The sequence below is a fragment of the Homo sapiens genome, chromosome 2 (genome assembly GCF_000001405.40).
Source record: "Homo sapiens chromosome 2, GRCh38.p14 Primary Assembly".
Classification (NCBI taxonomy): domain Eukaryota; kingdom Metazoa; phylum Chordata; class Mammalia; order Primates; family Hominidae; genus Homo; species Homo sapiens.
In genome coordinates, this window is record NC_000002.12 from 25,134,826 (window position 1) to 25,149,668 (window position 14,843).

The window sequence follows — 14,843 nt, forward strand, 5'->3', positions numbered from 1 at the left end:
AGGGACCTTCTGAATCATCAAAAGCATTGTTTTACAATATGGATTTAACAGTAAAGGTGCTTTGCTGCATTTGAATGCTTTGACAACAGCATGTATGGCATATCTATTTATGCCAAACTGGCTTTAGTCACAAAGCGCCATTATTGCCAGGCTAACAGACATGTTACAAAATACTACCTATGTGCACTATTTGGTGGTTGCCGTGTGTGTGAGTTCTGATCCTTCAGCCCAGCTGTGAGTTCTTCCACTGTCTCGTTCTTTGTGATGGTCATACTCTTAATGAGGCATTGTGTTCCTGGTGGCTGTTCATCAGTTGTGCCCTAACTGGCTGGAATGTTAGGTTCAGAGACTGCCTGGCTCCCGCTTCCCTCCAGGGCTCATCCCTTGCTTGCTTTTTAACACCCGAATGTCCCTGCACGCTGTCCCCATCCATTCACATGTCTACTGAGCTCGGTGTCATCTAGGTGGATGTTGGAGTGTTCAAAGAGTTGCCTGGGCTGTAGGGTAGGGGAGGCTGGATTGGGCGATGTCTAGAGAGGATGTGTACATCAGACCTGACTTCCTCTGGCTGCTCCTCCATCTCCTCCTGCACCTGAGAGGGACAGCATTCCTAGGCATAGCTGTCCATACCTCCCTTGCAGGTATCCACAGGTTTCCAGTGCAACAACATGATGTCAGCCCTGCCTAGCAACTTCCTGGACCGCCTTCTCTCCACCGCCCTCATGGAGGATGCAGAAATTCGACTCTTTGTTCTAGAGATTCTCATCAGTTTCATTGATCGTCATGGCAACCGCCACAAGTTCTCTACCATCAGGTGAACTTGGGGTGTCTCCTCCAGGCAATGCAAGATGGGGAGAGGACTCTCCATTAGGTCCTATCCTTTGGTCCTGTCCTCACACCCAGGTTCCCACCTCAGTATCTGAGTATTGTGGGATCTGAGTATCCCACAATTCAGATACTCAGTGAGACTCACCAGGAGTTGATCACCAACGTTGACCCTGGGGTCCTGCAAGAGAAGGAGAGACTAAAGGGCACTTGTGTCTGGGAGAGCAGGAGGGTGAACTGAAGATTTGGAAGATAGAGAGTAGGCATTAAAGGGAGTTGCAAGTGTGAGAAGGAAGGGGATGCAGGTTATCAGTAGAGACTGAAGGGATTTGGGGGGAATAAGAGGAGGAAGAAAATAATCAGGATGAAGATTTAAGAGAAAGGGGGTCAGGGCGGTGGCTCGTGCCTGTAATCTCACACTTTGAGAGGCCAAGGTGGGATGATCACTTAAGCCCAAGAGTTCAAGACCAGCCAGGGCAACATAGTGAGACCCCCATCTCTACAAGAAAATTTAAAAATTAGCCGAGTGTGGTGGCTCACACCTGTGGTCCCAGCTCTTTGGGAGGCTGAGTTGGGAGGATTGCTTGAGCCCTGGAGGTTAAGGCTGCAGAGAGCTGTGATTATGGAACAACTACACTCCAGCCTAGGTGACAGAATAAGACCCTGTCTCAAAAAGGAAAAAAGAGAGAGAGATAAAGGGACAAATTCTTGAGAACTTGGGAGGAAAAGGTAATCGGGCTGAGAACCAGGGCCAGGGGAGCACTGGAGGCTTTGTACCAACTAACAATGTTGGGGATAAAGCTCAGTGACCCCGTGTGAGCTCAGGCTGGCCTCATGCAAGGGCTAAGGAGGCCCTTTGCATCCCTTCCCAGTACCCTCAGTGACATCTCTGTCCTGAAGCTGAAAGTGGACAAGTGCTCTCGACAGGACACCGTCTTCATGAAGAAGGTAAACAAGCATGACCTCCAGGCACAGTGAAGGGCGGGCACGGTGGCTCACGCCTGCAATCCCAGCACTTTGGGAGGCTGAGGCGGGCGGATAGATCACTTGAGGTGGGGAGCTCGAGACCAGCCAGACCAACATGGTAAAATCCCATCTTTACTAAAGCTACAAAAATTAACCGGGCATGGTGGTGGGCACCTGCAATCCCAGCTACTCGGGAGGCTGAGGCAGGAGAATCGCTTGAACCCAGAAGGTGGAGGTTGCAGTGAACCGAGATTGTGCCAATGTACTTCAGCCTGGGTGACAGAGCAAAAGTCACTGCTGACCACTGACTGCCCTTGGAGCCTGCCTCCTCCCTCTGTAGCTATGTCTCCTCCCTCTGTAGCTCTGTCTCCTCTCTCTGTAGCTACGTCTCCTCCCTCTGTGGCTATGTGTTAAGCTGACCTCTCTGAGGAGTCAAGCCCAGAGTGATGAGCCAGTCCAGGGCCAGTGACTGTGTTCTGCTCCTACACCTGGATTTGGGCAGCAGCTTCTGGTGCTGGTTTCACTGGAGCCCATCCTTCCCTACGTGAGCCTTCCTGTGTGTGTCTGCTTCTGCCAGAGCCCGCTTTAAAGGCATCCCCTCCCCAAGGGAGGAGGGGGCACACAGCCATCCTGCCCCCCTTCAGATTGGTCTTCCTCCGTGTTCTCCTTGCCCCTCCTGTCCCCATCCCTCCGACCCTGGCCTTCTGCCCGCTCCTGTCCCCAGCACTCCCAGCAGCTCTACAGACACATCTACCTGAGCTGCAAGGAGGAAACAAACGTGCAGAAACACTACGAGGCGCTCTATGGCTTGCTGGCCCTCATCAGCATCGAGCTGGCTAACGAGGAGGTGGTGGTGGACCTCATCCGTCTGGTGCTGGCTGTTCAGGTGGGGCCTGGTGTGCGCAGGGCATGGGGCTTGGGATCAGGGGAGGGACTTGTTTTGGGCAAGCCCTGATAAGAGTATTGACTAGCAACTGCTTAACACTGTTTTGGAGCCCAGGAATATTGTACTCGTGGTTGGCCACGCCTCCCTGAAGACCCCAAACCATGGTCCTGTTTGGGGAACCCCAAAGAATGCTTCATTCATGGTCTTGGCCCGTCCTTAAGCTAAAGAAGACCCAGGGAACCGGGTCGTTCAGAAACATCCCTTAGCTACTACATGTCAAGTCTCTCGCAGAGTCTGAGTGAGACTCCAGGGATTCTTAAAAGGATGCTCATAAGCCCTGAGTGATCCCAGACAAACTCATTTGTCTAAAGATTCTCTGGTTCCCTTGGCCGGGCGTGGTGGCTCATGCCTGTAATCCCAGCACTTTGGGAGGCCGAGGTGGGTGGACCACTTGAGGTCAGGAGTTCAAGACCAGCCTGGCCAACATGGTGAAACCCCGTCTCCACTAAAAATACAAAAATTAGCCGGACGTGGTGGTGCATGCGTGTAGTCCCAGCTACTTGGGAGACTGAGGCAGGAGAATCACTTGAACCAGGGAGGTGGAGGTTGCAGTGAGCAGAGATTTCACCACTGCATGCCAGCCTGGGCAACAGAGCAAGACTCCATCTAAAAATTTAAAAAATTAAAAATTAAAAAAAGATTCTCTAGTTCCCAAATGGAGCTGTGCTTCAGAATTGCTTTGAGCACTTGTTTAAAGTGTCTATTTCCTGGGAAGGTAAGTCAGAGTCTGGAAGCCTGGGGACCTGTCTACCAAGCCTCCTTTGCGATGCGCAGGCAGCCAGTGTGGCACCGGACAGGGCTTGAGGCTTTCATGGTCTTCCTGGGTGCGTGTGTACACCCAAGGCTACTGGGAGTCAGGGTGGGTCCTTTGGACCTCAAAGGCTGGGTCTCCAGGGTCCTGAAGCCAGGAGGGCATCATATTCCTGAATCGGGGCAAGCCTGGGAATTCAGTGACAGTCTCAGACCACCTGTCTGTTGGTGCTAAATCCTGCAGGGCCAGCCTAGATGCTATAATTTTTAAATTCTGTTTACCCTCAAGAACTAGAACTTGGGGTTCCTTTATATCCCAATCCCCTGGTAACTCCCACAGCTAATTTAGCTTAACATATGAGCCCAGTTTAGCAAGCCAATCCAGTCCTCTAAGAATCCGCTATAGTGAAGGAGACAGCACCCTGGCAGTGGGATTAACGACCAGGGTTTGGGCAGTGAAGGTCGCCACAGCTGGAACTGCAGAGTGGGGAGTTGAGGTCATTGCCTCTGTAGTCTGTGAGTACTCAAGAGCCTCCCAGTTCACGGACTGTTCTAGGGACCCCTCCCTTCAGCTTTAATGAAGGTGACTTTTTTCCCCCAGGAAGGTTTGGGTCAAATGCTGAGAAAGACTTAGTCTAGGAAAGCAAGCATTTCTAAAGAAGATTGGGAAGAGGTCGGGTGGAGCGTTGGCACCCAGTGTAGTCTGTCAGTGAAAAACTCCGGAGGCCTTGTCTATGTTGCCGCAGGACGTGGCCCAAGTCAATGAGGAGAACTTGCCTGTCTACAACCGCTGTGCCCTCTATGCTCTGGGCGCAGCCTACCTGAACCTCATCAGTCAGCTCACAACAGTGCCTGCCTTCTGCCAGCACATCCATGAGGTTGGTGTTCTCACGACCAAGAGCTCAGGGGGCCCTCAACTTGGGGTTTCCTGGGAACAGCTTTTCCTTAATTGCATTAGTCCTGTACCTACACTTAGGCAGTGAAGACAGGGTTGAAGTAAGAACCACTAATGGTGAGAAGTTACTCGTGGCATCTTTCCCTCCTGTATGACTTGACAAAGCAGGGTGGGGTTAGGCACAGGGGTTGGGGGGGGTCTTCTATACCTGTTTCTAATACTGTCTGCCCCCTCCACTTCCTGCCCCTCTGTCTTTCCCCTACTCACGGGAGCACACCCGCACACATGCCTCAGATCATGCAGACTACAGCTATGAAATACCGCAAAAGTGACCTCAGATCATGCAGACTACAGCTATGAAATACCGCAAAAGTGACCTCAGATCATGCAGACTAAAGCTATCAAATACCGCAAAGGTGGCCCGAGTAGAATGGTGAATGAACATCTGTTCACGCCCACTCATATGAAATGAACAGTTATGAAAATTTCTCCCCATTTGCTTCATCTGTCTCCTTTTCTTTTCCTTTGCTGAACAAATTTTAAATACTTTAAACAAATATTTTAAAACAAATCCCAGCTATCCTGTCCTTTCACTCTATGTATATCCGTCTGCATGCCTGAAACAGCATGAACACCTCCCTACATGACTGCCATGCTCTTAACACAGCTCATTAAGTGATCAGTAATTCCTTGGTGTTATCTGACACCCATTCTATAGTCAAATGTGTTCTCAGTTGTTGCATAAAGATCTTTTAAAACACATGGAAGTGCTTAGAGGTTGAATGATACCAACATGTAGGATTAACTTTAAAATACATTAGCAAGCCAGGCGCAGTGGCTCAAGCCTGTAATCCCAGCACTTTGGGAGGCCGAGGCTGGTGGATCACTTGAGATCAGGAGTTCGAGACCAGCCTGGGCAACATGGTGAACCCCCGTCTCTACTAAAAATACAAAAATTAGCTGGGCATGGTGGCGCACACCTGTAGTCCCAGCTACTCAGGAAGCTGAGGCAGGAGAATCGCTTGAACCTGGGAGATGGAGTTGAGCCAAGATTGCACCACTGCACCCCAGCCTGGGTGACAGAGCAAGACTCTGTCTCAAAAATAAAATAAAATGAAATACATTAGCAAAACAAAATAAAACAAAACAAGAAAATTTAGGTCTTAACTAGCCTGGGTTGGCTGGGAGTCACAGGGGAGGGTGCCGTGACTGTGACAGAGACCACTCAAAGGGAAGCAGGAGTCTTCCAGCTTCTGGGCTGATAAGGGAGTATAAGAAAGGCAATGCCCAGACATCCTCTGCCTGACAATTGTGGGACCTTTACCTCCTCACCCTCGACACACACCTGTATGTTGACCATCCCTCCACTTCTTACCACCTTAGTAACTTGCACTTTTCTTGTCAAAAATTTGCAAAGAGTACTGAGTAAAGCTCAAGATGTCACTGTCCATCAGGGTGTTTTGCAATGCACTTGGGTACTGCAGTACCCAGGTTTGGGACAAGGTGTGAACTACATTCCTTTGTACCTGTTTAAATAAAAAACACAGGAATGAGGCCAGGTGCAGCGGCTCAGCCTTAATCCCAGCACTTTGGGAGGCCAAGGCAGGTGGATCACTTGGGGTCAGGAGTTTGAGATCAGCCTGGCCAACATGGTGAAACCTCATCTCTACTAAAAATATAAAAATTTGCCAGGCGTGGTGGCATGCACCTGCAGTCTCAGTTACTCGGGAGGCTGAGGCAGGAGAATTGCTTGAAACTGGGAGGTGGAGGCTGCTGTGAGCCAAGATTGTGCCATTGCACTCTAGCCTGGACAAGACAGCGAGACTCCGTCTCAAAAAAAAAAAAAAAAAAAAGCATAGGAATGAGGCATTGGAGCCAGCAGCTGCAGTCTCTTAAGAGTTAAGTTCCCTGCATTGGAGGACACTTAGTGCACATGTGTCATTGATGGCCATGGCCTGAGCAGGCAGCTTGAGCTTCTCAGGCTGCCCTGAGGGTCCCTGTTGATGCGAGTTTCCACTGAAAAGCTCAGCTGAGGACACTGTGCTGAGGAGGCTGTGGGAGGGAGGAAGCACCGAGCCGGGCATGGGAGCTCTTTCGTTGCCTGTGAGCTCCCTCTCCCTGCTGAACCAGCTCTTATCTGATTCCTCCCAACCGCCAGGTGATAGAGACCAGGAAGAAAGAGGCTCCATACATGCTCCCCGAGGATGTGTTTGTGGAGAGGCCCAGGTGAGGAGAGGACGGGGGACGTGGTCAGGGATCCCCAGGGCAGCTGAGTAAGCAGGTGGGTGGTCTGAGGTCAGGAGGGGTCAATGCCAGGAGGCTCAGACTTCTGTGGACTCAAGGGCAGAAGGTGGGCTCTGCCTGTGGTCCAGGAGTCCTGGGTAAAGTTCAACCCCATCACATTACTGCAGTCCATGCCTCGAGCATGCAATGCTGAGCCATGTTTGCAGATGAGACACAGCCTCCGGGGGCTTTGGCCAAGCCCATGCTAAATGCATCCTGGAGGAGTCATTCCTGACAAGACATTACTGTAAATCCAAGTAATGTTTTCGGATCATAGTGGGTGCTGTGGGCCAGTGTCATTTCAACATCAGAGGAACTCAAGGGAAAGATGTTTTGCAAAACCAAAATGTCTAACAGTAGGGGATGGCTTTATAAATTATGGCCCATCCATACAGTAGACAATCATGACAATGTTTTAGAAGAATATTTAATGTAAAATACCCATTACATAAATAGGTCAATAAAATAGATCACAGAACAGCGGGTGGGGAAGGGGATATCTGTGTATATTTAAAAATACGGGACTAAGCTGGGTGCGGTGGCTCACGCCTGCAGGCCCAGCGACTCAGAAGACTGAGCAGGAGGATCTCTTGAGCCCATGAGTTCGAGACAACCATGGGCCGCAAAGCAAGAACCCATCTCTACAAAAAATGTTTAAAAATTTTGCCCGGGCTGGGCACAGTGACTCACGCCTGTAATCCCAGCACTTTGGGAGGCTAAGGTGGGCGGATCACTTGAGGTCAGAAGTTCGAGACCATCCTGGCCAACATGGTGAAACCCCATCTCTACTAAAAATACAAAAATTAGCCAGGTATGGTGGCGCACACCTGTAGTCCCAGCTACTCTACTCGGGAGGCTGAGGCAGGAGAATCTGCTTGAATCCAGGAGGCAAAGGTTGCAGTGAGCCGAGATCATGCCACTGCACTCCAGCCTGGGCAACAGAGCAAGACTCTGTCTAAAAAAAAAAAAAAAAAATTAGGCCGGTCACAGTGGCTTATGCCTATGTAATCCCAGCACTAGCACTTTGGGTGGTTGAGGCGGGCAGATCACTTGAGATCAGGAGTTGGAGACTAGCCTGGCCAACACAGTAAAACCCTGTCTCTACTAAAAATACAAAAATTAGCCAGGTGTGGTGGCGTGCGCCTGTAATCCCAGCTACTTGGGAGGCTGAGGCAGGAGAATCCCTTGAACCTGGGAGGCAGAGGTTGCAGTGAGCTGAGATCATGTCACTGCACTCCAGCCTGGGCAACAGGGAGAGACTTGGTCTAAGAAATAATAATAATAATAAATAAATAAATAAATAAAATTAGCCAGGTATGGTGGAGCGTACCTGTTGGGAGGCAGAGCAGGAAGATCACTTTAGCCTGGCAGGTCAAGGCTGTAGTGTGCTATGATGGTGCCTGTGAATAGCCACTGCACTCCAGCCTGGGAAACACAGTGAGGACCCTGTCTTTAAAAAAAAAAAAAAAAAAAAAGGCTGGGCATGGCGGCTCATGCCTGTAATCCCAGCACTTTGGGAGGCCGAGGCGGGCGGGTCACGAGGTCAGAAGATCGAGACCATCCTGGCTAACATGGTGAAACCCCGTCTCTACTAAAAATACAAAAAATTAGCCAGGCTTGGAGGCTGAGGTAGGAGAATGGTGTGAACCTGGGAGGTGGAGCTTGCGGTGAGCAGAGATGGTGCCACTGCACTCCGGTCTGGGTGACAGAGCGAGACTCCGTCTCAAAGAAAAAAAAAAGTGACTGAAGGATGTGATTGTTGTACATAAGAATATATTATAAAATGAATAGTGGTTATCTCTGGAAATGGGACTGGGGGTGACTGTTCCTTTTGCTTCTCTGTCATCTTGCATAGTGAAGATGTTACTTTTTTAATAAGAAAAGTTGGCCGGGCATGGTGGCTCACGCCTGTAATCCCAGCATTTTGGGAGGCTGAGGCGGGTGGATCACCCGAGGTCAGGAGTTCAAGACCAGCCTGGCCAACATGATGAAACTCCGTCTCTACTAAAAATACAAAAAATTAGCCTGGCGTGGTGGCAGGTGCCTTTAATCCCAGCTACTCGGGAGGCTGAGGCAGGAGAATCGCTTGAACCTGGAAGGCGGAGGTTGCAATGAGCCGAGATCGCACCACCACACTCCAGCCTGGGCGACAAGAGCAAAACCCTGTCTTAAAAAAAAAAATTGTTCAGAAGTCATTCTAGATACCGCGGTTCTAACGAACTTTCTCCCTCCTTCATCTTCCAGGCTGTCTCAGAATCTTGATGGGGTGGTCATTGAGCTCCTCTTCCGCCAGAGCAAGATCAGTGAAGTCCTGGGAGGCAGTGGCTACAACTCGGACCGGCTCTGCCTGCCCTACATTCCTCAGCTGACAGGTATGAGTTCTGTGCAGGGATGCCCGGGCCTGCCTCTGTCTTTACTTGGCCAGGTAAGGGCCTGAGCATAAGGGACTTATAGCCCTTTGATTGCCTGTGAGGCACCTTGGATGTCGTGAGAGCTGAAAGACACAGTGGAAATTTATGGTGAGGTCCTCTTGATTGCCCCACCTCTCCTCCTCAGGACAGGGTCCTTGGAAGTACCTGGCCCATGAGATGGCCTGGCCTGAGGATGGGAGAGGTTCCATTGTGCTGGAAAGAGCATATATGGCTATGGAACCAGAGACCCAGTTTGAGACCCCTGTGCAACTTACTGCCTGAAAGATCTTAGACAAGTCCTTTGCATCCCTGAATTTCAGTTTCCTTGACTGTAAAACAGGAATTTAACAATAGCTGCCTGCTGGGTGCAGAGGTTCACACCTGTAATCCCAGCACTTTGGGAGGCTGAGGCGGATGGATTGCCTAAGCTCAAGGGTTCAAGACCAGCCTAGGCAACACGGTGAAACCCCATCTCTACTAAAAATACAAAAGATTAGCTGCATGTGGTGGTGGGTGCCTGTAGTCCCAGCTACTCTGGAGGCTGAAACAGGAGAATTGCTTGAACCCGGGAGGCAAAGATTGCAGTGAGCCAAGATCGCGCCATTGCACTCCAGCCTGGGCGACAGAGCAAGACTCCGTCTAAAAAAAAAACAAAAAAACAAAAACAATAGCTGCCTTAGAGGGCTGGCATGATAAGGTACCTGTATTAATGCAAATGCACTTAGTAAATGCTTCATGAAGAGCTACTGGTGCTCTTAGCAGATCATGCTTACACATAAGGTGAGATATGTATTCTGGTCATAAGCACCTTCTTTGTGTTCTCGTTGACGATTTCAAAATTTTAGCCCCAAAGAACAAAACTGACCACCCTAAGATGGACAGAGAAGGCCCACAGCAATCGGAAGCTTCTATAAACTCCAAGTGTAGCCTGAGTGTGCACTGAGCCTTAGAGGACTGTGGACCAAGCAAAGGCAGAGGGGTAGGGAGGTGGGACTAGCAGCTCAGTCCTGGATCTCTGAGGGCTGGGAACTAAAGCCTCTGGGCTGCTTCTTCCCCAGATGAGGATCGTTTATCCAAGAGGAGGAGCATTGGAGAGACCATCTCCCTGCAGGTGGAGGTAGAATCGAGGAACAGTCCGGAGAAGGAGGAGGTGAGTGTCCGTGCCACCGTCCTGGGGCAGCCCCACCTCCTGTAGATTGGACGCTGGACTCCAGGCTCCCCTGCCTGCATAGTGGGCTTAAGGCTGCATGGAAAGCAAGTTTCTCGAGTAATTCCACACTTGTACTGACTCTCCCCACGTATGCGTCATAGATACTTCCCTTCGGAAAAATTGTTAGGGTCCTCCCTGCTCCCATGAGGATATCATAAAACTCACTCTTGAAAGGCCTGGCTGGGGATGGTGGCTCACACCTGTGATCCCAACATTTTGGAGGCTGAGGCAGGAGGACTGCTTGAGCCCAGGAGTTTGAGATGATCTGGGGCAATATAAGGAGACCCCATCTCTACAAAAAATAATTGAAAAATCAGCCAGGCATGGTGACGTGCACCTGTGGTCCCAGGTACTCAGGATGCTGAGGTGGGAGAATCACCTGAGCCTGGGAGGTCAAGGCTGCTGTAAGCCATGATGGCAGCACGGCACTTCAGCCTAGGTGACAGAGTGAGACCTCGTCTCAAAAAATTAAAAAGAAAGGCATGCTGGTCATCATTCCCCACTCACAGGGGGACCGATATGCTCTGGGTTGGAAACTAGAAGACTTAACTGGAGAGATAAGGGTGAGAACAGCTTTCATAGTGTTGCTTCCGTATGTATCAATAAAGAATCTTTTTTTAAATTTACACTATTTTTAAAGCAATTTTAGTTACAGCAAAATTGAGAGGAAGGTACAGAGATCGCCCTTTGCCCCCTCCCCTCCCCTGACACATGCACAGCCTCCCCTCCTATCCATATCCCCCAGCAGAGTGGTGCATTTCTTACAGTTCAACCTGCCTTAACACAACAGTATCATCTGAAGTCTGTCGTTTACACTGGGGTTCGCCCTCAGCGTTGTACATTCTGTGGGTTTGGACAAATGCGTAATGACATGCATCCCCCACCAGAGTACCATACAGAGTCATTTCCTGCCCTAAAACCCCCTGTGCTCCACCTCTTCATCTCTCCCCTAACCACTGACAGCCAAGATGTTTTTTTTTTTTTTTTTTTTAATGCTGACTGTTACAGTTCACAAGAAGTACGGAGGACACACATCTGGGTGGGACCGGGACAGAAAGACTTACATGGTCCTCAGGCATGGACAGGCTGGCATTCCCCAGCCTCTCTGCCCATTAGGGCTGATATAGACATGGAGGACAGCTTTGACATCAAGCCTTTCCCCAGATGCAATCAGAGGTAGGAGAAGTCTCTAGGGGTCAGGATCAAGCCTCCCCCTAACTGTGCCCTCGACCACTTCATTTATTGGGGCAGATCTCTACCCCAGGGCCCTCAAAGCTTATCCAGAACCTTCCCACGGAAGGAAGCTCTGACTTGGGCTAATTGGACAAGTAAAATGAGGTTGAACGAGGCATCCTCCATGGCCCTTCCAGCTCCAAGGACTGGGAACCTCCAATGCGTTAGGCATCGGGGTGAGTTGGCTGCTCTCTCCCCATAGTGGCGATTCTCCCTTCCCAAGAGGTAAGAGACCCTCGGGAATTGAGGAGTGAAGTGACTCAGAAGCGCAAGGCGAAATGCTTACACAGCTACAGAGCCACCTCCTCACTAGTGGCCTCCTGGGCCACCAGTATCAGTTCCTTCCTCCCTTCAAGAGTCAGCTTAGCCCAGAGGTAGCTTGGTGGCAAAGCAGGGGTGCAGGGGCCTTCATCCTGTGCCCTTCTGCCATGCCACAACTCTCTCCACTCTCAGCCATCAGTGCCAGTCCAGAGTCCCACGGTGGTTCCTAGGGCCGTACTGCCCAGCCTTGCCGCAGGGGTGAATAAATGCTTGTTTGGTCAAATCTGAATCCTGGTGCCTGGCATTCCCAGCCATGCATAGTCTGGGCTCTGCCATTTCATTTTTCCCCACCTGCTCTGGCCCGTATCCACTGTCCCACTCTGGTGGGGCTGCTCTCGATCTCTCCCACGCTGCGCTCCGCCATCTCCAGGCCTTTGCTAGTGCAGAATGCCACATCTGAACCACCCTTCCCTCCACACTGGTGCAGCTGAGCGCCTGTGAACTGTCTGTTCTCCAGCGCCCGGCCCCTGTTCAGTTTCCTCATAAACTTCTCTCTCCCTGCTCTTGCCCAGGGAGCATCCCTTCTCTCTTGCCCAGAGAGCGGCATTTTCTTTGACTGTTGCCACCACACAGTTCCCTAGCACCCTGCAGGTGAATATCCAATGTTGCTCGGTGCTGACAGTGGATGAATGGATGGACGTACAGAGGATAAGTCCTCAGAGCGAGTTAAAGCCGAGCATAGCTCTCTCTTGCATGTAATTCCTATGCTAGCAAATTGTGCAGTTTCTATAGACTCACCTACAGTCCTGCATGTAGTTGGTGCTCACTTAATGTTTGTTAAATGACTTTATCTCATACATATACTTCTGTCCTCTCCTACTCAAACAAAAATGCCAAACAAATCAAAAAATGCACGACTCAGTGAATTTTCATAAAGTGTGTATGCCCACGCAACCACGCCTGGATGAGAGAGTGGAACACTGTCATCATCCAGGGGCCCTGCCTCTGTGCCCCCTCCCCTAAGGGAGCTCCCAGCCTGAGTTGCGTTACTTCTGGAACTTTATATCAATGAAATCATTCTGTTCTGTGTCTGCTGCTTTTGCTTAAGATTATGTTTAAATGATAGAGCATGAGGCTGGGCGTGGTGGCTCATGCCTGTAATCTCAGCACTTTGGGAGGCCAAGGCAGGTGGATCACCTGAGGTTAGGAGTTCAAGACCAGCCTGATCAACATGGTGAAACCCCGTCTTTACTAAAACTACAAAAAATTAGCCGGGCATGGTGGCGGCCACCTGTAACTCAGCTACTGGGGAGGCTGAGGCAGGAGAATCACTGGAAACCAACCAGGAGGTGGAGGTTGTAGTGAGCTGAGATCATACCATAGTACTCTAGCCTGGGTGATGAGAGCGAAACTCCATCTCAAAAAAAAAAAAAAAAAAAAAAGAAGAGCATGAGTAAATCGTAGGTCTAATAGCTCTTTGTCTAGTGAGTAAGTTCTGGAATTTAGTCCAAATTCCTTCATTATTTTCAGCATCTATGGATCTCCCTTCTTTGAGTTTTATTATTTTCTACTTCCTTTTATAGGCTCTGCAGAGGACTGAGTGGGGTAACTCCTTGGAACCTCAGCAGCCGGGGAGGGCCGGTCACTTCTTTTTTTAAAAAAAAAAAAAACAGAGTCTCCCTCTGTCGCCCAGGCTGGAGTGCAGTGGTGTGATCTTGGCTCACTGCAATCTCCACCTCCCGGTTTCAAGCAATTCTCTTGCCTCAGACTCCCCAAGTAGCTGGGATTACCGGCACGCGCCACCATGCCTGGCTAGTTTTTGCATTTTTAGTAGAGATGGGGTTTCACCACGTTGACCAGGCCGGTCTCGAACTCCTGACCTCAAGTGATCCGCCCGCCTCAGCCTCCCAAAGTGCTGTGATTCCAAGCATGAGCCACCGCATCCGGCCTGTCACTTCTAACCTTCCATTTCTTATCTTTATTAAATGCTCAAGTCGCATTGGTGGGTAATTTAATACTTTAAGACTTCAGAACTGGCCGGGCGCGGTGGCTCACGCCTGTAATCCCAGCACTTTGGGAGGCCAAGGCAGGCGGATCACGAGGTCAGGAGATCGAGACCATCCCGGCTAAAACGGTGAAACCCCGTCTCTACTAAAAATACAAAAAATTAGCCGGGCGTAGTGGTGGGCGCCTGTAGTCCCAGCTACTTGGGAGGCTGAGGCAGGAGAATGGCGTGAACCCGGGAGGCGGAGCTTGCAGTGAGCTGAGATCCCGCCACTGCACTCCAGCCTGGGTGACAGAGCGAGACTCCGTCTCAAAAAAAAAAAAAAAAAAAAAAAAAAGACTTCAGAACTGATATTCAGTTCCTGAAATTTACATCTGAGATTCTATTCACCACCTCTCTTCCCTTGCTTCCAATGTTTTCTGTTGTGTTCTCTGAAGATGTTTTAAAATTGCAGTATTGGCTGGGCACAGTGGCTCACACCTATAATCCCAGCACTTTGGGAGGCCGAGGCGGGCAGATCATGAGTTCAGGAGTTCGGGACCAGCCTGACCAACATGGTGAAACCCGTCTCTACTAAAAATATAAAAATTAGCCAGGCATGGTGGTGCACGCCTATAATCCCAGCTACTTGGGAGGCTGAGGCAGAAGAATCACTTGAACCCAGGAGGCAGAGGTTGCAGTGAGCCAAGATCATGCCACTACACTCCAGCCTGGGCGACAGAGTAAGACTCTGTCTCAAAATAAAATAACATGAAATAAAATTGCAGTGTTTTCCTCCCATGGTGCTTGATGGACAGGCTTGGGGAGGGAGCAGGGGACAGTGTGTTCTTTTATGTGAGATTCAGGACTCTGTCTAAGTCTGAATCTGATGAGGAATGAGCTTCCCCGCTGCATCTCGCTGTCCTCTGTGCCTGCTCAGGGAGCTTCTGAGACCCTGAGGGGGGTGGGGGTGTCCTGAGGGACTTCCTGCCCACTGGGACTTTCTTCCAACAAGCAAGGGGCTGCCAGAGAGCTGGGGGTGCCAGGGCTGCCTCCTTTCTCTGCCCCCTGCCTTTCTG

The 14,843-nt window shown here is 50.3% G+C and overlaps 1 protein-coding gene across 2 annotated transcripts in view, besides 2 other annotated features; it reads left to right on the forward strand.

The window, feature by feature from the left end:
* The window catches only part of EFR3B (EFR3 homolog B), a 117,060-nt gene that overhangs the window by 92,750 nt on the left and 9,467 nt on the right, over nucleotides 1–14,843 (forward strand). For both annotated transcript variants that reach the window (NM_014971.2, NM_001319099.2), the window contains exons 13-19: nucleotides 642–814; nucleotides 1,698–1,773; nucleotides 2,516–2,677; nucleotides 4,234–4,365; nucleotides 6,541–6,608; nucleotides 8,910–9,037; nucleotides 10,135–10,226. In NM_014971.2, the coding sequence (NP_055786.1) occupies nucleotides 642–814; nucleotides 1,698–1,773; nucleotides 2,516–2,677; nucleotides 4,234–4,365; nucleotides 6,541–6,608; nucleotides 8,910–9,037; nucleotides 10,135–10,226 (831 nt within the window). The remainder of the gene's footprint in view (nucleotides 1–641; nucleotides 815–1,697; nucleotides 1,774–2,515; nucleotides 2,678–4,233; nucleotides 4,366–6,540; nucleotides 6,609–8,909; nucleotides 9,038–10,134; nucleotides 10,227–14,843) is intronic.
* Nucleotides 2,031–2,532: an enhancer, noted in NCBI's record as "H3K4me1 hESC enhancer chr2:25359725-25360226 (GRCh37/hg19 assembly coordinates)". NCBI's record gives its function as "activates a minimal SCP1, AML or CMV promoter by ChIP-STARR-seq in naive H9 embryonic stem cells {active_cell/tissue: H9 hESC(naive)}" and the evidence as "EXISTENCE:reporter gene assay evidence [ECO:0000049][PMID:30033119]".
* Nucleotides 2,533–3,032: an enhancer, noted in NCBI's record as "H3K4me1 hESC enhancer chr2:25360227-25360726 (GRCh37/hg19 assembly coordinates)". NCBI's record gives its function as "activates a minimal SCP1, AML or CMV promoter by ChIP-STARR-seq in naive H9 embryonic stem cells {active_cell/tissue: H9 hESC(naive)}" and the evidence as "EXISTENCE:reporter gene assay evidence [ECO:0000049][PMID:30033119]".